Below are 13,609 nucleotides of genomic sequence, written 5' to 3' on the forward strand. Positions count from 1 at the left end.
AACTTGGAATTTCCAGGGAAATATTTTTCTTTGTTGCTCTACACACAAAATAGTAATGAAATTTTTAAGAATTCCTAATTGCATTTTCAAAACATAAATAGTTTTCATGTTTCCACTGTAACTCTCCATTTCTCCCTTCCCTCCCTTGTTCTCTCCCTGGCTCTGACCTCACCTCTGCTTTCCACGGGGAGCAAGATGAACTGCTTGGTTGTTCCATGCGGCAGCTGGTGGGGCAGAGGGTGCAGTGAGCTGAGAGCAGGGACCCCCTCGCAAGTCTGGCACCTGGTTGAGGGGAAGGCCTGCTTGGGGCTGCTTTCCAACCAGCTTGCCTCAGGAGCCCTGTGCCAGCGAGGCTGAGATCAGGGCCTGGCACATCCCAATGGCAGGGAGAGAGTAACTTGTGAGGAGCCCAGACTTGTCCAGGGTAGCTTGGCAGAGTTGGAGAGGTGGTCTTAACAGGGTGATCTCCGTGGCACAGGAATAGACGTGATCCCAGCCAGCCCTACCTGCCAACAAGTAGTGCTTGTAGTTGGGGCCTCAGAGAGGTGTTGGTGCTGAGGGCCAGCTGGCGGTGACCAGGGATTATGCTGTGGAGCTAGAATGGAAGGAACACTTATTAAGGATATAAAGGAAAAAGCTACAGGACTTGGCGGGGGTCTGGATTTGGGCAGCAGAGGAGGACACTGGGAGGTCAGATGCCCTGGGGCAGATCAAAGCATTGCTTATCTGACTCAGCAGGACACATTTCGTGTTCTCTGTCTGCCAAGCCTAGGCTTGGGCATATAGTAGGTGGAAAAAGTTCTTTGTTTTTAGTTTCACATATTGTACTAGCTTTGGATGTATGTTGGACAGGTGCCAATCGGGTATGTTCTGACAGATGAAAGTATAACTTTTCAGAGTGCTGGTATTTTAAAATACAAATAATCGGTATTAATCATCTCCAGCCAAAGACAAGTTGAGCAACTGATATTTGATCCCAAAGTTTATATTTGTTTCTCAGGATCTTCAAAGTTGGAAACCTGGGAGAGGTTTGGAATTTTCCATGGTTGCAAATGTACTTTACTCACAAGGATTATCACACAAGTGTCTACTCACCAGGCACGGTGCTTTAAGCATTCAACCCACATGGTCTCGATTCTCACAACCACTCTGTGGGAAGGAGCATTATCCCCATTTGATAGATGGAAAAACCAAGTCTTGGAAAAACTTAAGTAATTTATTCAGTGTCGCAGCCAACAGGCGACAGCAACAGTATTACAACCTAGGTCTTTCTGACTTCAAAGACTGTGCTTAAAAACTATAACATACTGTCCCATTTCTTTATTTCTTAATGTGTTTTGATCATGTCTTCCTTGTAAGTCCAAAACATGGTCTTGGTTTTTAGGTTCTATATGGGCTAGTTCTAGTTCTAGCTCTTGATCAATAAATTCTCACTTAAGCTTTGGTGGAATTAGCACAATATAGCTATCCATTGGCTATATATGGCTATATATTGTTTTATTTTCCTTTCTCTTTTTTTTTCCTGTGAACTGTTTCTATTTTGTTTTAACTGGTACTATTATAAGTAGTTTGTTCTGGGAATAATTTATCTTGTATTTACTTTGTGTTCTTCCTCCCTCTTTCTCCTTCTCTCTTTTGCTCATTTTAGGCTAGCTCTTTCTTGCTCTCTCTTTTTTCAATTAAAATAAAATAGAGATGAGATCTCACTATGTTGCTTAGGCTGGTCTTGAACTCCTGGCCTCAGGCAGTCCTCCCACCTTGGCCTCCCAAAGTGCTGGAATTACAGGCATCAGCTACTGTGCCTTAAAGTATTATTAAGAATTTGTACTTCTCTATGATGTAGACTTTATTCTGTTCTCTTCACCCAAGAAAATTTTGGTGCATCTTTATTCTTGGTTAGGCCTCCATACCACCTTCAATTCATCAATTATCTTTTTGGTTTTGCCACTATTATGACTGGTTTCAAAGAATGCTTGGCTTTTTGTTGAAACATCAAAAGGTATGAGTAGCAAACAGCACTGAGATCTCTTCCTTCCTGTGTGAACCTCCCCACCGGAAGCTGCCTCATGCTGTGATGCTTAAAAGTCATAAAACGGTATCATTATTCAAGGCATAGAGTGACTTTAGGGAAGCTGGTGGGGGAGAACATTTGTACAAGGTTGTCACAGAATGATTTCTTTGTGTCTTCCATTTTTAGGGTGATATAGAATGTAGAGCGATCTTCCATTGCCTTCTCAGTCTGAACACCTTTGTTTTTCTTTAACAGAGTCAAATCCCCATTTCATATATGGGGATACTGAGGCTCAGAAATTTATCTCACTTATCCATGGTGGAGTTAGTGGTAGATTTGGGATTAGGATAAAGGTCTTCTGACTGTTTGACAGTGCTCTTTAGTTCCATGAGTCTCTATACACCATGTTGAGTAGTAAAAGTAGAAAGCTCAAATGAGTCTCTATAAATCATGTTGAGTAGTAAAAGTAGAAAGCTCAATAAAGAAAAAATATAAACATGAATATTAAACTTATTTGGTAGATTCAGTTCAAGTTTGCTTTTGGTTAAATGCTGCAAATGGTTTGGGGGAATTAGCCATTCATATGTTCTTGTCCTTGATCTTTCATTTTTGCTGAGAAACTTGAACCCATTTTGGTGCAAGAACAGGAATTCAGGAATTAACATTTCTAGTCATTTCTGCACTCTGTACTCCGTCCTACTTGGCTTAATGTCCCTGGGTTGCTTTTTTGTTTGTTTGTTTTTTCCCATCGTGTGATTTGTAATACACAGCTTTTCCTGCCCCTGGTATTTCTCAAGGCAAGAGTTGAGGCAGCTATGTCATCTGGGAGAGTGACTTAGGGCAGTGATCCCCAAATTCATTTACACCTGCATCAAGGTCACTTGGATGCTTGTGTGAGTGCAGGCTTCTGAGGATCACTCCTGACCCTATAAGGCCATCTCTAAGGACAACCTCCGCCTCCCAGGTTCAAGCGATTCTCCTGCCTCAGCCTCCCAAGTAGCTGGAATCACAGGCATGCATCACCACACCTGGCTGATTTTGTATTTTTAGTAGAGACGGGGTTTCACCATATTGGTCAGGCTGGTCTTGAACTCCCGACCTCATGTGATCCACCCACCTCAGCCTCCCAAAGTGCTGGGATTACAGGCATAAGCCACCGCGTCCGGCTGAGGTCTGCCTTTTAACAGAGCACTGGAGTACACTATTATGCACACTGACATTTGAGATAGCATCTATGGCTGAGGCTGTCTCAGCTCTCAGCCTTCCCACCCCAGCTTAGAAAAAAGGAACAGAGGATACCCCTTCCTCTGGGATGAGAGGGGAGAGAGGAAGGATACTAAGAGTCACCATCTGCTGAGGTGAGGAGGGTGGAGGCATGAAAAAGCAGTAGTGCATCAGCCAGGGTTGGATAGAAAGCCTGAGTAGTTTTGAAGATCCAATTAGTGTTATAAATGTTCTTTGCAGAGCCAATAAGCATTTTCATGTGAATTTCTCCAACAAGATAAAAGAATGGGGTAACTATGCCTAGGGATTGACCTGCTGGCTCTGACCAAGTCATAGGTGTTGGGGCTCAGACACTGATGCCCCAAAATACAGCATTTTGACATTCCAAACTGAAGAAGCTTCAAGGTGTCTCTGACATTCCTGCATCCCACATTCTCTTTCAAAGGCTTTATCTACCAAAGATCGAGACCCACCAGGGGAAAGAATTGTTTTTCCTTCCCCTCCCTGTAAGACCGGGAATGTGGCCACACCTGAACAGAACCTTTCACAGGATGACATACAGGTTAATCTCTGTTCCCCATCCCTTTTCCTTGGTAATCTCAACCAAATTCCTTTTCTGCCCCCCTCCCATAACCTGTTTTGCTGGGATGGTAGTTAAGCTTCTGAGTCACTTGAGGGGTGGGTAAACATGTGAGTCTACTTGCGTACATGTTAATAAAACTTATATGCCTTTTCTCCAATTGATCGGCCTTTTGTGAGTTGATTTTTTCAGAGAACCTTCAGATGGCAAAGGGGAGGATTTCCTTTGGCCTCTGCATGGGAAACAGGGACTCCAGGGTGTTCATGAGAGTATTGCTGAAATTGGGTTCTTGAGGTCCCATCTGGCCGAGGAGCCTATGAAGCCAGGATGGGAAAGATGGAGTGGGGTGAAATCAAGGAACCACCTACAATGAGAATAAAGGGCAGGATCTATAAGAATAAGGAAGTGGAGAAGTGAGTAAATAGAAAGGCTATAGTCCAAGATTTGGAAGCCTTGATCTTACAGGTGGAGTATTTCCAGGTAGTGATAACGTGCAAGGTGTGGTGCCTGTGTGTGGTTGGAGTGTAGTGGAGGAGTGTTACCAAGGTCATCCACCTTCTTGAAGCCACCCAGCAGAGGCAGGCCTGGGAGGAAGGCAGCAATTGTGGCAAGAAAGGAAAAGTCCTGGAGGTCAAGAAATGAGTGGCAAGGTTAGGGGTGAGAGGGAAGAGTGAAGCCCTGAGAAGTGAGGTGATGGACAGGATGTGGCCTGGGAGAAACGTTTATTTGGGAAAGTGATGACTATCCTCTCTTTGTCCTGGGAGTCAAGGAAATTTGGCAAACAACCACCCCTGGAGTGGGTTTATGAGGGGTGGGATTTTGAAGCAAAAGCCAGCTTTTCATTAGACAAGTAGGTAGAGAAAGTGTAAACAAAAAGTGATAATATAGGAGAATTACAACGGGTCAGGAGTTCAGAGGCTCATTGGAAGGAGTGAGTAGGCTTGGGGTATGTTTAAGGAGGGCTGGTTAGCAGGATGGAGACAGATGACTTTATATGAGTTCTGGGGGGGTCAGGACTTTTACTAGAGTTTACTAGGAAACCAAATCCACTGCAGAAACAGGCATAGATTTATGTAACTGTGGTAGGGGCCCATTAGAGATCTTGTGTTACTGATTTACTAATTGTGCTACTGATTTATTACTAATTCATTAGCTGTGACATACACTTTCAGCAAGTGACTAAAACCTTATGACCCAGAGTAAAATAATTTTATATCATGACCCAGGTAGCTGTGTGATATGTGTAATAAGTGGGCGTGTGTGTCTAACTAAAGATTCACCGAGCAACACTTAACTTCTACTATATGCAACAGCCTCTTATGTTTACTATTCTGTTCTGTTCTAATTCATTTTCTAAGAAAATGCTGGTCATGAACCACTGTGTTGATTTTATGATCCGTTAAAACATTACAGGTCAGGCATGGTGGCTATAATCCCAGGACTTTGGGAGGCCAAGATGGGTAGATTGCCTCAGCCCAGGAGTTTGAGACCAGCCTGGGCAACATGGTGAAACCCTGTCTCTGCACAAAATACAAAAAAAAAAATTAACCAGGCATGGTGGTGCACGCCTGTAGTTTCAGCTACTTGGGAGGCTGAGGTAGGAGGATCACCTGAGCCTGGGAGGTAGAGGCTGCAGTGCACAGTGATCACACCACTGCACTCCATCCTGTGTGAAAGAGTGATACCCTGTCTCAAATCAAAACAAAATAAAACATTACAGCCGCATTTGAATAAAGTGCTTTACACTATCTTGAGCATGTTTTGGTAATAGTTATGTTCTGCATAACAATATCCCATAAGATTATAATGGGGCTGAAAAATTCCCAATCAAAGCATTACTCACGTGTTTGTGGTGATGCTGGTATAAACCTACTGTGCTGCCAGTCATATGAAAGTATAGCGCATACAAATGTGTACAGTACATAATACTTCATAATGGTAATACTTATGTTACTGCTTTATGTATTTACTATGTTTTTATGTTATTTTTAGAGTGAACTTTCTCTACTTAAAATAAAAAGCAAATTGTAAAATGGCCCCAGGCAGGCCCTTTTGGAGGCACTGGAGGAGAAGGCATTGTTATCATAGGAGATAACAGCTCCATGCAGACCTTTCAGTGGGACAAGATGTGGAGGTGGAAGACAGTGATATTGATGATCCTGACTCATGTGGGATCTTGCTAATATGTGTGTTTGTGTCTTAGTTTATAGCAAAAAAGTTTAAAAAGTAAAAAAAAAAATTAAAAAGTTAAAAATAGAAAAAAGCTTATAGAATAAGGACATAAAGGGAAAAATATTTTTGTACAGCAGTAAAATGTATTTGTGTTAAGCTAATGAGTCAAAAAGTTAAAATTCAAAAGTTTATAAAGTAAAAAAGTTACAGTAAGCTAGGGTTAATTTATTATTGAAGAAAGAACCTTTCTTTTTCTTTTTTTGAGATGGAGTTTCGCTCTTGTCACCCAGGCTGGAGTGCAATGGTGTGGTGGCTCACGCCTGTAATCCCAGCACTTTGGGAGGCCAAGGCGGGTGGATCACCTGAGGCCAAGAGTTTGAGACCAGCCTGGCCAACATGGCAAAACCCCTATCTCTACTAAAAATACAAAAATTAGCCAGGCGTGGTGGTGCATACCTATAATCCCAGCTACTTGGGAGGCTGAGGAAGGAGAATCACTTGAACCCAGGAGGTGGAGGTTGCAGTGAGCCGAGATCGTGCCACTGCACTTCAGCCTAGGAGACAGTGAGACTCCGCCTCAAGAAAAAAAATAATTTAGCATACCCTAAGTGTACGATGTTTATAAAGTCTACAGTAGTGTACGGTAATGTCCTAGGGCTTCACATTCACTATCCTAAAGGACAGTGACACAAGTCCTGTCCTCAAGTGATCCGCCCACCTTGGCCTCCCAAAGTGTTGGGATTACAGGCGTGAGCCAGGCGTGGTTGTGCGCACATGTAATCCCAGCTACAGGCCGGGCCCCCTTTTTATGTTTAGATACACAAATACCACCATGCTACAACTGCCTACAGTACTGAGTATAGTCACATGCTGTATGGGTGTGTAGCCCAGGAGCAATAGGCCATATATCCTAGGTGTGTAGAAGGCTGTACCATCTAGGTTTGTTTAAGTGCACTCTGTGATGTTTGCGCAATGACGGAATCACCTAATGACATACTTCTCAGAACACATTTCCCTCATTAAGTGATACATGACCGCACTAGGTGCTGCTTCCTAGGCATCTCTGGGAGGAAGAACATTAATTTTAATTTTCTGTACCTAGTTCATACTTGGGGTTTATTGTACCATCTGGGAGAAACCAGGAGGTGTTTAGTTAGGCCTTTCCCTGCTCACAACTTTCATAGGCTCCGTTTTCCCTGCAGGATCATGGAAGGGCACCTCCTGAGCCTGGCCCAGGAGCCCATACTCACCCCTTTTACACCGCCTCCGCCTTCCCGCCATGGTTGATCGTTCTCTCCTCAGTTATGCCTCAGGTCCCTGTCCTGCTTCCACTGTGCATAGTATGCTTTATGGTAGCTTTCTCCATGTGTTGTCCTCTCTTAGCAGTCAGGGAGCTCCCTGAGGAAGACATTCTCACTCGCTGTACCCCACTGCCTTGCACGGGGCCTGTGCAGAATGGGTGCTAGGTTGCTTTGCCTGAGTGAGTGTTGTGATCTCAGAAGTTCTGGCTTAGGCTTCTTGTCCCTGTGCTTTTGTCTAGAGAGGCTTTGTGAGGGACGCTGATTCTGTTGGATAGCCTTTGAATGATTTTCATTCTCAATTGCATGGATCGCTTTGGGGAACACAGACCAGCTGGCTGTGCTTGGCAGCAAGGTGTTGTGTGGTGGAAATGGCTGAATTCCACATATCCTCTGTTACTCACAGACATTTAGGGGAGCACGTGCCATCCCTCTCACAATTTTGAATACATAGGACCGGGTGCTCCTCACCCTTCCATTTCAGTGGGATAGTTTGTCTAGCAGCTGCTCTGTGCTGATGACATTATGAAATAGGGATTTTAAAGGACCTCTGTGCAAATGGAGCCCCTCAACCCCTGACGATGTGTTCTGCACAAATAGATTTAAGTAGGCTTTTTATGCATCAGAACTGCCTGCAATCTGAAACACACCAACAAGACAGGTTCAAGGATGAATTAACAAAGGTTCAGCAGACTTAAATGATATTCAGAAGTCTTGTGGCTAAGTCAAATTATAAATAAACTCATGTGTGTGGTGTAGAACTGTGTGTGTGTGTTGGTTTTGAGAGACTGATAGAAGGAAGAAGTAGATGGAGTATTATTTTCTTACTCCTGATGTGTCTCCCAGGCTGGATGATGACAAAGAACAAAGGAGAAGTTGTCAGGCTCAGTCAAGGAGAAGGGAGGAGCGATATGGTTTAAGTGTGGGAGGAAGAGAATTGAAGGGACATTTGTGCCACTTTACGCACCCACAGAGCTGTTTGTGTAGGTGGGGGCTGGGCAGGGAGTGTCACCAGAGACTTTGACTTCTCTGCCTCAGAACTTCACTCAGTGGGGTGTCTGTGTGCCTCAGATTAATGTCAGCCTGCTCAGGGAGAAGCAAATATGTGTCCTCTGAGGGATAAGGCACATATTTCACATACCCTCTGTTCTGGATGGAGCTGAGCTCAAGGGACTGGGTGGAGAGGAGGTCCTCTTCTCTCAAACATGGCCCTTCTTTCTCGCAGCCATACTTTTGCTAATCCCCTCTCTCTGGAATAGTTTTCTTATTCCTTTCTCCCTCAATTATCATTTTACTCCTTTTAAAGTCTACCTGGTCTTCATAGATGAACCCAGAGCTTATCTTTTCTCTGCAGATTTCTTGGTCACCCAAATAGTGGTAATTTTTCTTCTGAACGCCCCTAGCACTTACTGTCCATATCACTTCTGTGTCATGTATAACAGAATAGCAGATGGAGGAAGCTCAGTGTTTTTGTGTCTCATATACATAGGCAACTTCCATATTATTGTTCTGTATGTTATCTTGTCTCCCCAAATACAGCCCCAATGTGTCAATTCTTACCATGTCTGCTACAGTTCCTAGGGGATTTTGCAGGGGGAAAGAAGTGAGTTGTCATGTAAATGAAATAATGGTGTACCTTGACTGAGGATGTGAGAGAATTTTTTGTGCATCCCTGGGCACACAGCTGTCTTAGTCTCTTGTGCCCCTATAACAGAGTACCTGAGACTGAGTAACTTATAAAGAACAGAAATTTGTTTCTCGCAGTTCTGGAGACTGAATGTCCAAGATCAAAGTACTGGTGGGTTTGGTGTCCCATACCAGCTGGTTATCTGTTTCCAAGATGGCATCTTGTAGCTGCATCCTCCGTTGGTGGAAGTGATGGAAGGAAGGTCAATAAGGCCCTACCTAGTTCCCTCCAGCCCTTTTATAAGGTCACTAATCCCATTCATGAGAGCTCTGCCCTCATGACTTAATCATCTCCTAAAGGATCCACCTCTTAATGCTATCACAATGGTGATGAAGTTTCAACATATGAATTTGGGGGCACACATTCAGGCCATAGCAGCAGCCTTATATGGGAACTGACAATATTGTCTCTACCGGGGCTGTCCTCTATATAGAAATATAACAGGAGCCACATGTATAATTTTACCTTTTCTACTAGCCACAGTAAAAAAGTAGAAAAACAGGTGAAATAATTTTAATGTATTTTATTTAACCTAGTATATCCCAAACGTCATTTTAATACATAATCAATGTACAAAAAAAGTTTTTTTTTTTTTCGAGATGGAGTCTCGCTCTGTTGCTCAGGCTGGAGTGCAGTGGCACAATCTTGGCTCTCTGAAACCTCTGCCTCCTGGGTTCAAGCAATTCTCCGGCTTTAGTCTCCTGAGTAGCTGGGATTACAGGAGTGTGCCACCACACCCAGCTAATTTTTTGTATTTTTAGTAGAGACAGGGTTTCACCATTTTGGCCAGGCTTGTCTTGAACTCCTGACCTCAGATGATCTGCCTGCCTCAGCCTCCCAAAGTGCAGGGATTACAGGCATGAGCCACCACACCCGATCCAATGTACAAAAATATTAATGAGATATGCTACTGTCCTTTATTTTATACTAAGTCTTTACTAACTGATGTGTATTTTACGCTTACAGGACACTGCAGCTCAGACTAGCTGCACTTCAAGTGTTTAATACTTACATGGGGCTAGAAGCTGCCATGTTGGAGAGAATAGGCCCTGCATTCTTGATCCTTAGTCTAACAGGAGCCTCTTAGGGATCTTCTGATTATTCCAGGAAGAAGCAAGAAAGGTTACAGGGTTGTGTTTCATGTATTAGGAGGCAAATTAAAGCTTTAAGAGAATAGAAACAGAGAATTTACCAATGAGGTGCACTTAACTTTTTTCTCCCTTAGTTTTCTTCCCATATTCACATTTACCACAGAAAGGAGAAACAGGAAAAATTTACAACAGAAAGGAGAAACTCACCAAGTACTTACGCAAATACAAGTAGCGCATGGGATGCATTCTTTTTCTTCTGTCCTGTGCACCTGCCTTACCTTTTCCCAGGGTGAGTGGATGATAGCGTGGCATCTTTGCAGGAAGAGCTTGTAGAGAAGAAATGGTGATTCCAGCCACCTCAGCCTCTGCTTCTGATAGCCTCTTGCTTTGTTCCTGAAGTTAAATAACCAAAATATATGCTTATAAAGTGGTGATGAAAAATTACTTCTTGGTCAGTAGGTGTCTCTGATGGCAGCAAATCCATGTTGCATTTGTCTTTTTCTCTTAATAAAGGACTTGATGGACTGTGACAAGATTGGCCACCTATTTTAGAGTCATTGGAATTAAATTAAGACATGCCCACACTACCTAATTTCATAAGGGTGGTGCTGGAGGGAGAAGAGGATAGTACATACAGAAGGAAGAGGGTGGCCCAATATCGACATGTTAATACCCAGGACTAAAAACAAAGTCTCTACTGTTATAAAGGCCAGGAAGGATGTTCTCTTTCTACCCAGGCAAACACTGTCCAAATTTTATCCACAGGAAAATCAAGGCTCAGTTATTCATTGTGTACAGCTGCAGAAACAATAGAAAATATAGCCCCTTGGTTATCAGAGCAGCATTATCCAAATAAAATTATCAGGCTCAATGTAGCCTTGACTGAAATGTGTGGAGGTAACATGCTGCTTTTGTTCTTCTCAAACAATGTATGAACCATAGTCGATTTATTTTTCCTAGTCCTGGTTCTGTTAGTGCCTGAGTGGCCTTGAGCAAAGCACTGTCTCTGTGGCTCAACTTCTGAATTTATGAAATGGGTCCAGGAACACCTTTCACACCTATATCCCAGCATTATGATGTGAAAAGCAGCCTAAAAATTAAGCGCTACATTGCTATGAATTGTAAAGTGTGGAAACATGGAATAAAATACCTCTTAAGCTCCATTGTTTATTATGAAAAACATTTTCAGTAGTAGGAACAGCTGTGAATCAGGCAGCCCAACTTAATTAGAGTCAAAGAATGTGCGCCTTCAGCTGCTTTTTATTGATAGTGTTTGCACGTTTACTTCCTGAATAGCATAAATAGAGGTGGAGTAGGTTTATGCAGGGAAGAATAAGTACATTGGAACAACCTAGAAGTGGAATCTTCCTTCTGTAAACAATATTCTCAATACCAGATACAGGCCCCTCTGTTGTAGCACCGGGAGAGTAGGAGACCTCTTTTTAAACCTAGAAGTATATGCATGTGGTTAATTATACATTTACAAGGTAAAGAAAGCATCCATCAAGGAAATACTTGGAGCAATATTGGCCCAGCAAATTCAGCTTTTAAATATAATTCGTATTGGAACAACTGGCATCTCCTTCAGAAAGAAAAATAAGGTGGTCAAAATGTTGATTCTCTAACCTACCATCTTGGATAGGGCTGGATGTTAAGTCACTGGCTCTTACAGGTGATGTGGGCAGCACGTAGACTGGGTGTTTTCGAGTCAAGCACATAAAAGGCTGCAGGTTTTCTCCTGGCCACCCGGAGCACTGCAGTAGGACGGCACCTCTCCTGAAATAAAGCTAATTTAGGCTCACCTCAGCTCCCCCATGGGTTGGGATATGTGTGTGTCTGCTCTTGCTAAGTGCCAGATTTATAATTTTGTTCTCTTATGCTAGTCCTGCAGCCTCTTCTTTCCATCCCCACCCCATGCCAGCCAAGCAGAATTGGGGGGATGGGGAGAGGACTCTAAACAGACAGCTCCTTAGCCTCTCAGAGGCCCCTGGGAAGAGCCACAGGATAGGCAAGGGTCAAGGGAATAATAGCTTTTCCTTCTTCCTGAGAAGCCTTCTAGAATTCCCCTAAAGAACTAGGGGACGCAATGTGAATCAAATAGAGAAGCCTTCCTGACTTCAGGATGTTAGGGATACACATTTTTTGAGGGCGGAGACTCTCATTGTTCATTTTTTTTTTTCCTGTCCAGCAGGTTCTCGGTGTGGTGGTTAAAATGACTTCCAGCTTGGGCCCCAGACATTTCTTTGGAAGAATCTTGCTTTAAAACCTAAATTTAAGCTAAGCCCCATAGAAAGAGCAAACGAAACTTCAAAGAACTCAAAATAGAGCATGTAATTTCATGTGTTGTGAAGGCTTATGAGGAAAGTGGCTTTAGTCAGGTGTCAACACCTTCTCAGGGTTACAAGGAATAACCTAGTCCAGCTGCCATTGCAGATGTGGGGGCGCAGGTTGTGACAGGTGGCCCCTCAGGTGGGGAGGGCTGTCTTAGTGCTAGCTGGTCTCCACTTGTCTGTTCTGCTTCCCACTTGAGAGTACTGTGTTCATTCCTCCTTTATGGGGTGTTCCCCCATCATGTTTTTAAGTGTCAGAATGTTGGGCAGAGGGTTCTTTTCTGCATCATCCTATAAAGCAATCACTAAATATATCGGGCTATGAAGCACTTTTCCTTTAAAAAAAATTTTTTTTTCTTTAGAAACGGGGTCTTTATGTAACAAACCTGCACGTTGTGCACATGTACCCTAGAACTGAAAGTATAATAAAAAAATTAAAAAAAGAAACGGGGTTTTGCTCTGTCACCAAGGCTGGAGTGCAGTGGCTCAATCATTAATCACTGCAGCTTTGACCTCCTGGACTCAAGCAGTCCTCCCACTTCAGCCTCCAAAAGCACTGGGATTACAGGTGGCCTCATTTCTCTCTCTCTCTCTCTTTTTGTTATTGTTGTTATTGTTGTTGTTGAGACGGGGTCTCACTCTGTCACCCAGGCTGGAGTGCAGTGGCATGATCACGACTCATTGCAGACCTGACCTGGGCTGAAGGGATCCTCCGGCCTCAGCCTTGTGAGTAGCTGGGACTACAGGTGTATGCCACCATGCCTGGCTATGCTTTTAATTTTTTGAAGCAACAGAGTCTTCCTGTGTTGCCCAGTCTGGTCTCCAGCTCCTAAGCAATCCTCTGACTTGGCCTCCCAAAGTGCTGGGAGGTGTGAGCTATGGTGTCCAGCCTTCTTTTTTCAAAATCATTTTCATACCTGCTTTCCCTATAACACCTCGAGGTAGGGTGCGAATGGGCACAGAGGGAAGAGAGCTGAGCCTATATCCAGAGCCCAGGCCAGAACCCAATTCTCTGGATGACCATGCTTCTTCGGTAAGTATATTTTTGTGGAATATTTGGAGCTCTTTTGACACATAAAGATTTACTAAACAACATATTCACATATGGCAAAATATTATCTATAAATAGCTTCAAAATGTCTTTGCTTTAGTTTTAGGTTCTGATTTGCTGTGGTGTAGTGAGGACAGAATTTTTCTTTTGCTGTATTTTAATTGC

At 43.3% G+C, this 13,609-nt stretch overlaps 1 protein-coding gene across 4 annotated transcripts in view, besides 1 other annotated feature; it reads left to right on the forward strand.

Annotated features, from left to right (window-relative positions):
- IQGAP2 (IQ motif containing GTPase activating protein 2) overlaps window positions 1–13,609 on the forward strand; it is a 304,848-nt gene that overhangs the window by 68,548 nt on the left and 222,691 nt on the right. The gene's annotated exons all lie outside the window — the stretch shown is intronic.
- Window positions 167–1,366: an enhancer, noted in NCBI's record as "CDK7 strongly-dependent group 2 enhancer chr5:75767824-75769023 (GRCh37/hg19 assembly coordinates)". NCBI's record gives its function as "activates an origin of replication core promoter dependent on BRD2, BRD4, P300/CBP, MED14 and CDK7 cofactors, with strong dependence on CDK7, by STARR-seq in HCT116 cells {active_cell/tissue: HCT116}" and the evidence as "EXISTENCE:reporter gene assay evidence [ECO:0000049][PMID:35650434]".

Source organism: Homo sapiens, chromosome 5 (genome assembly GCF_000001405.40).
Source record: "Homo sapiens chromosome 5, GRCh38.p14 Primary Assembly".
Taxonomy (NCBI): Eukaryota; Metazoa; Chordata; class Mammalia; order Primates; family Hominidae; genus Homo; species Homo sapiens.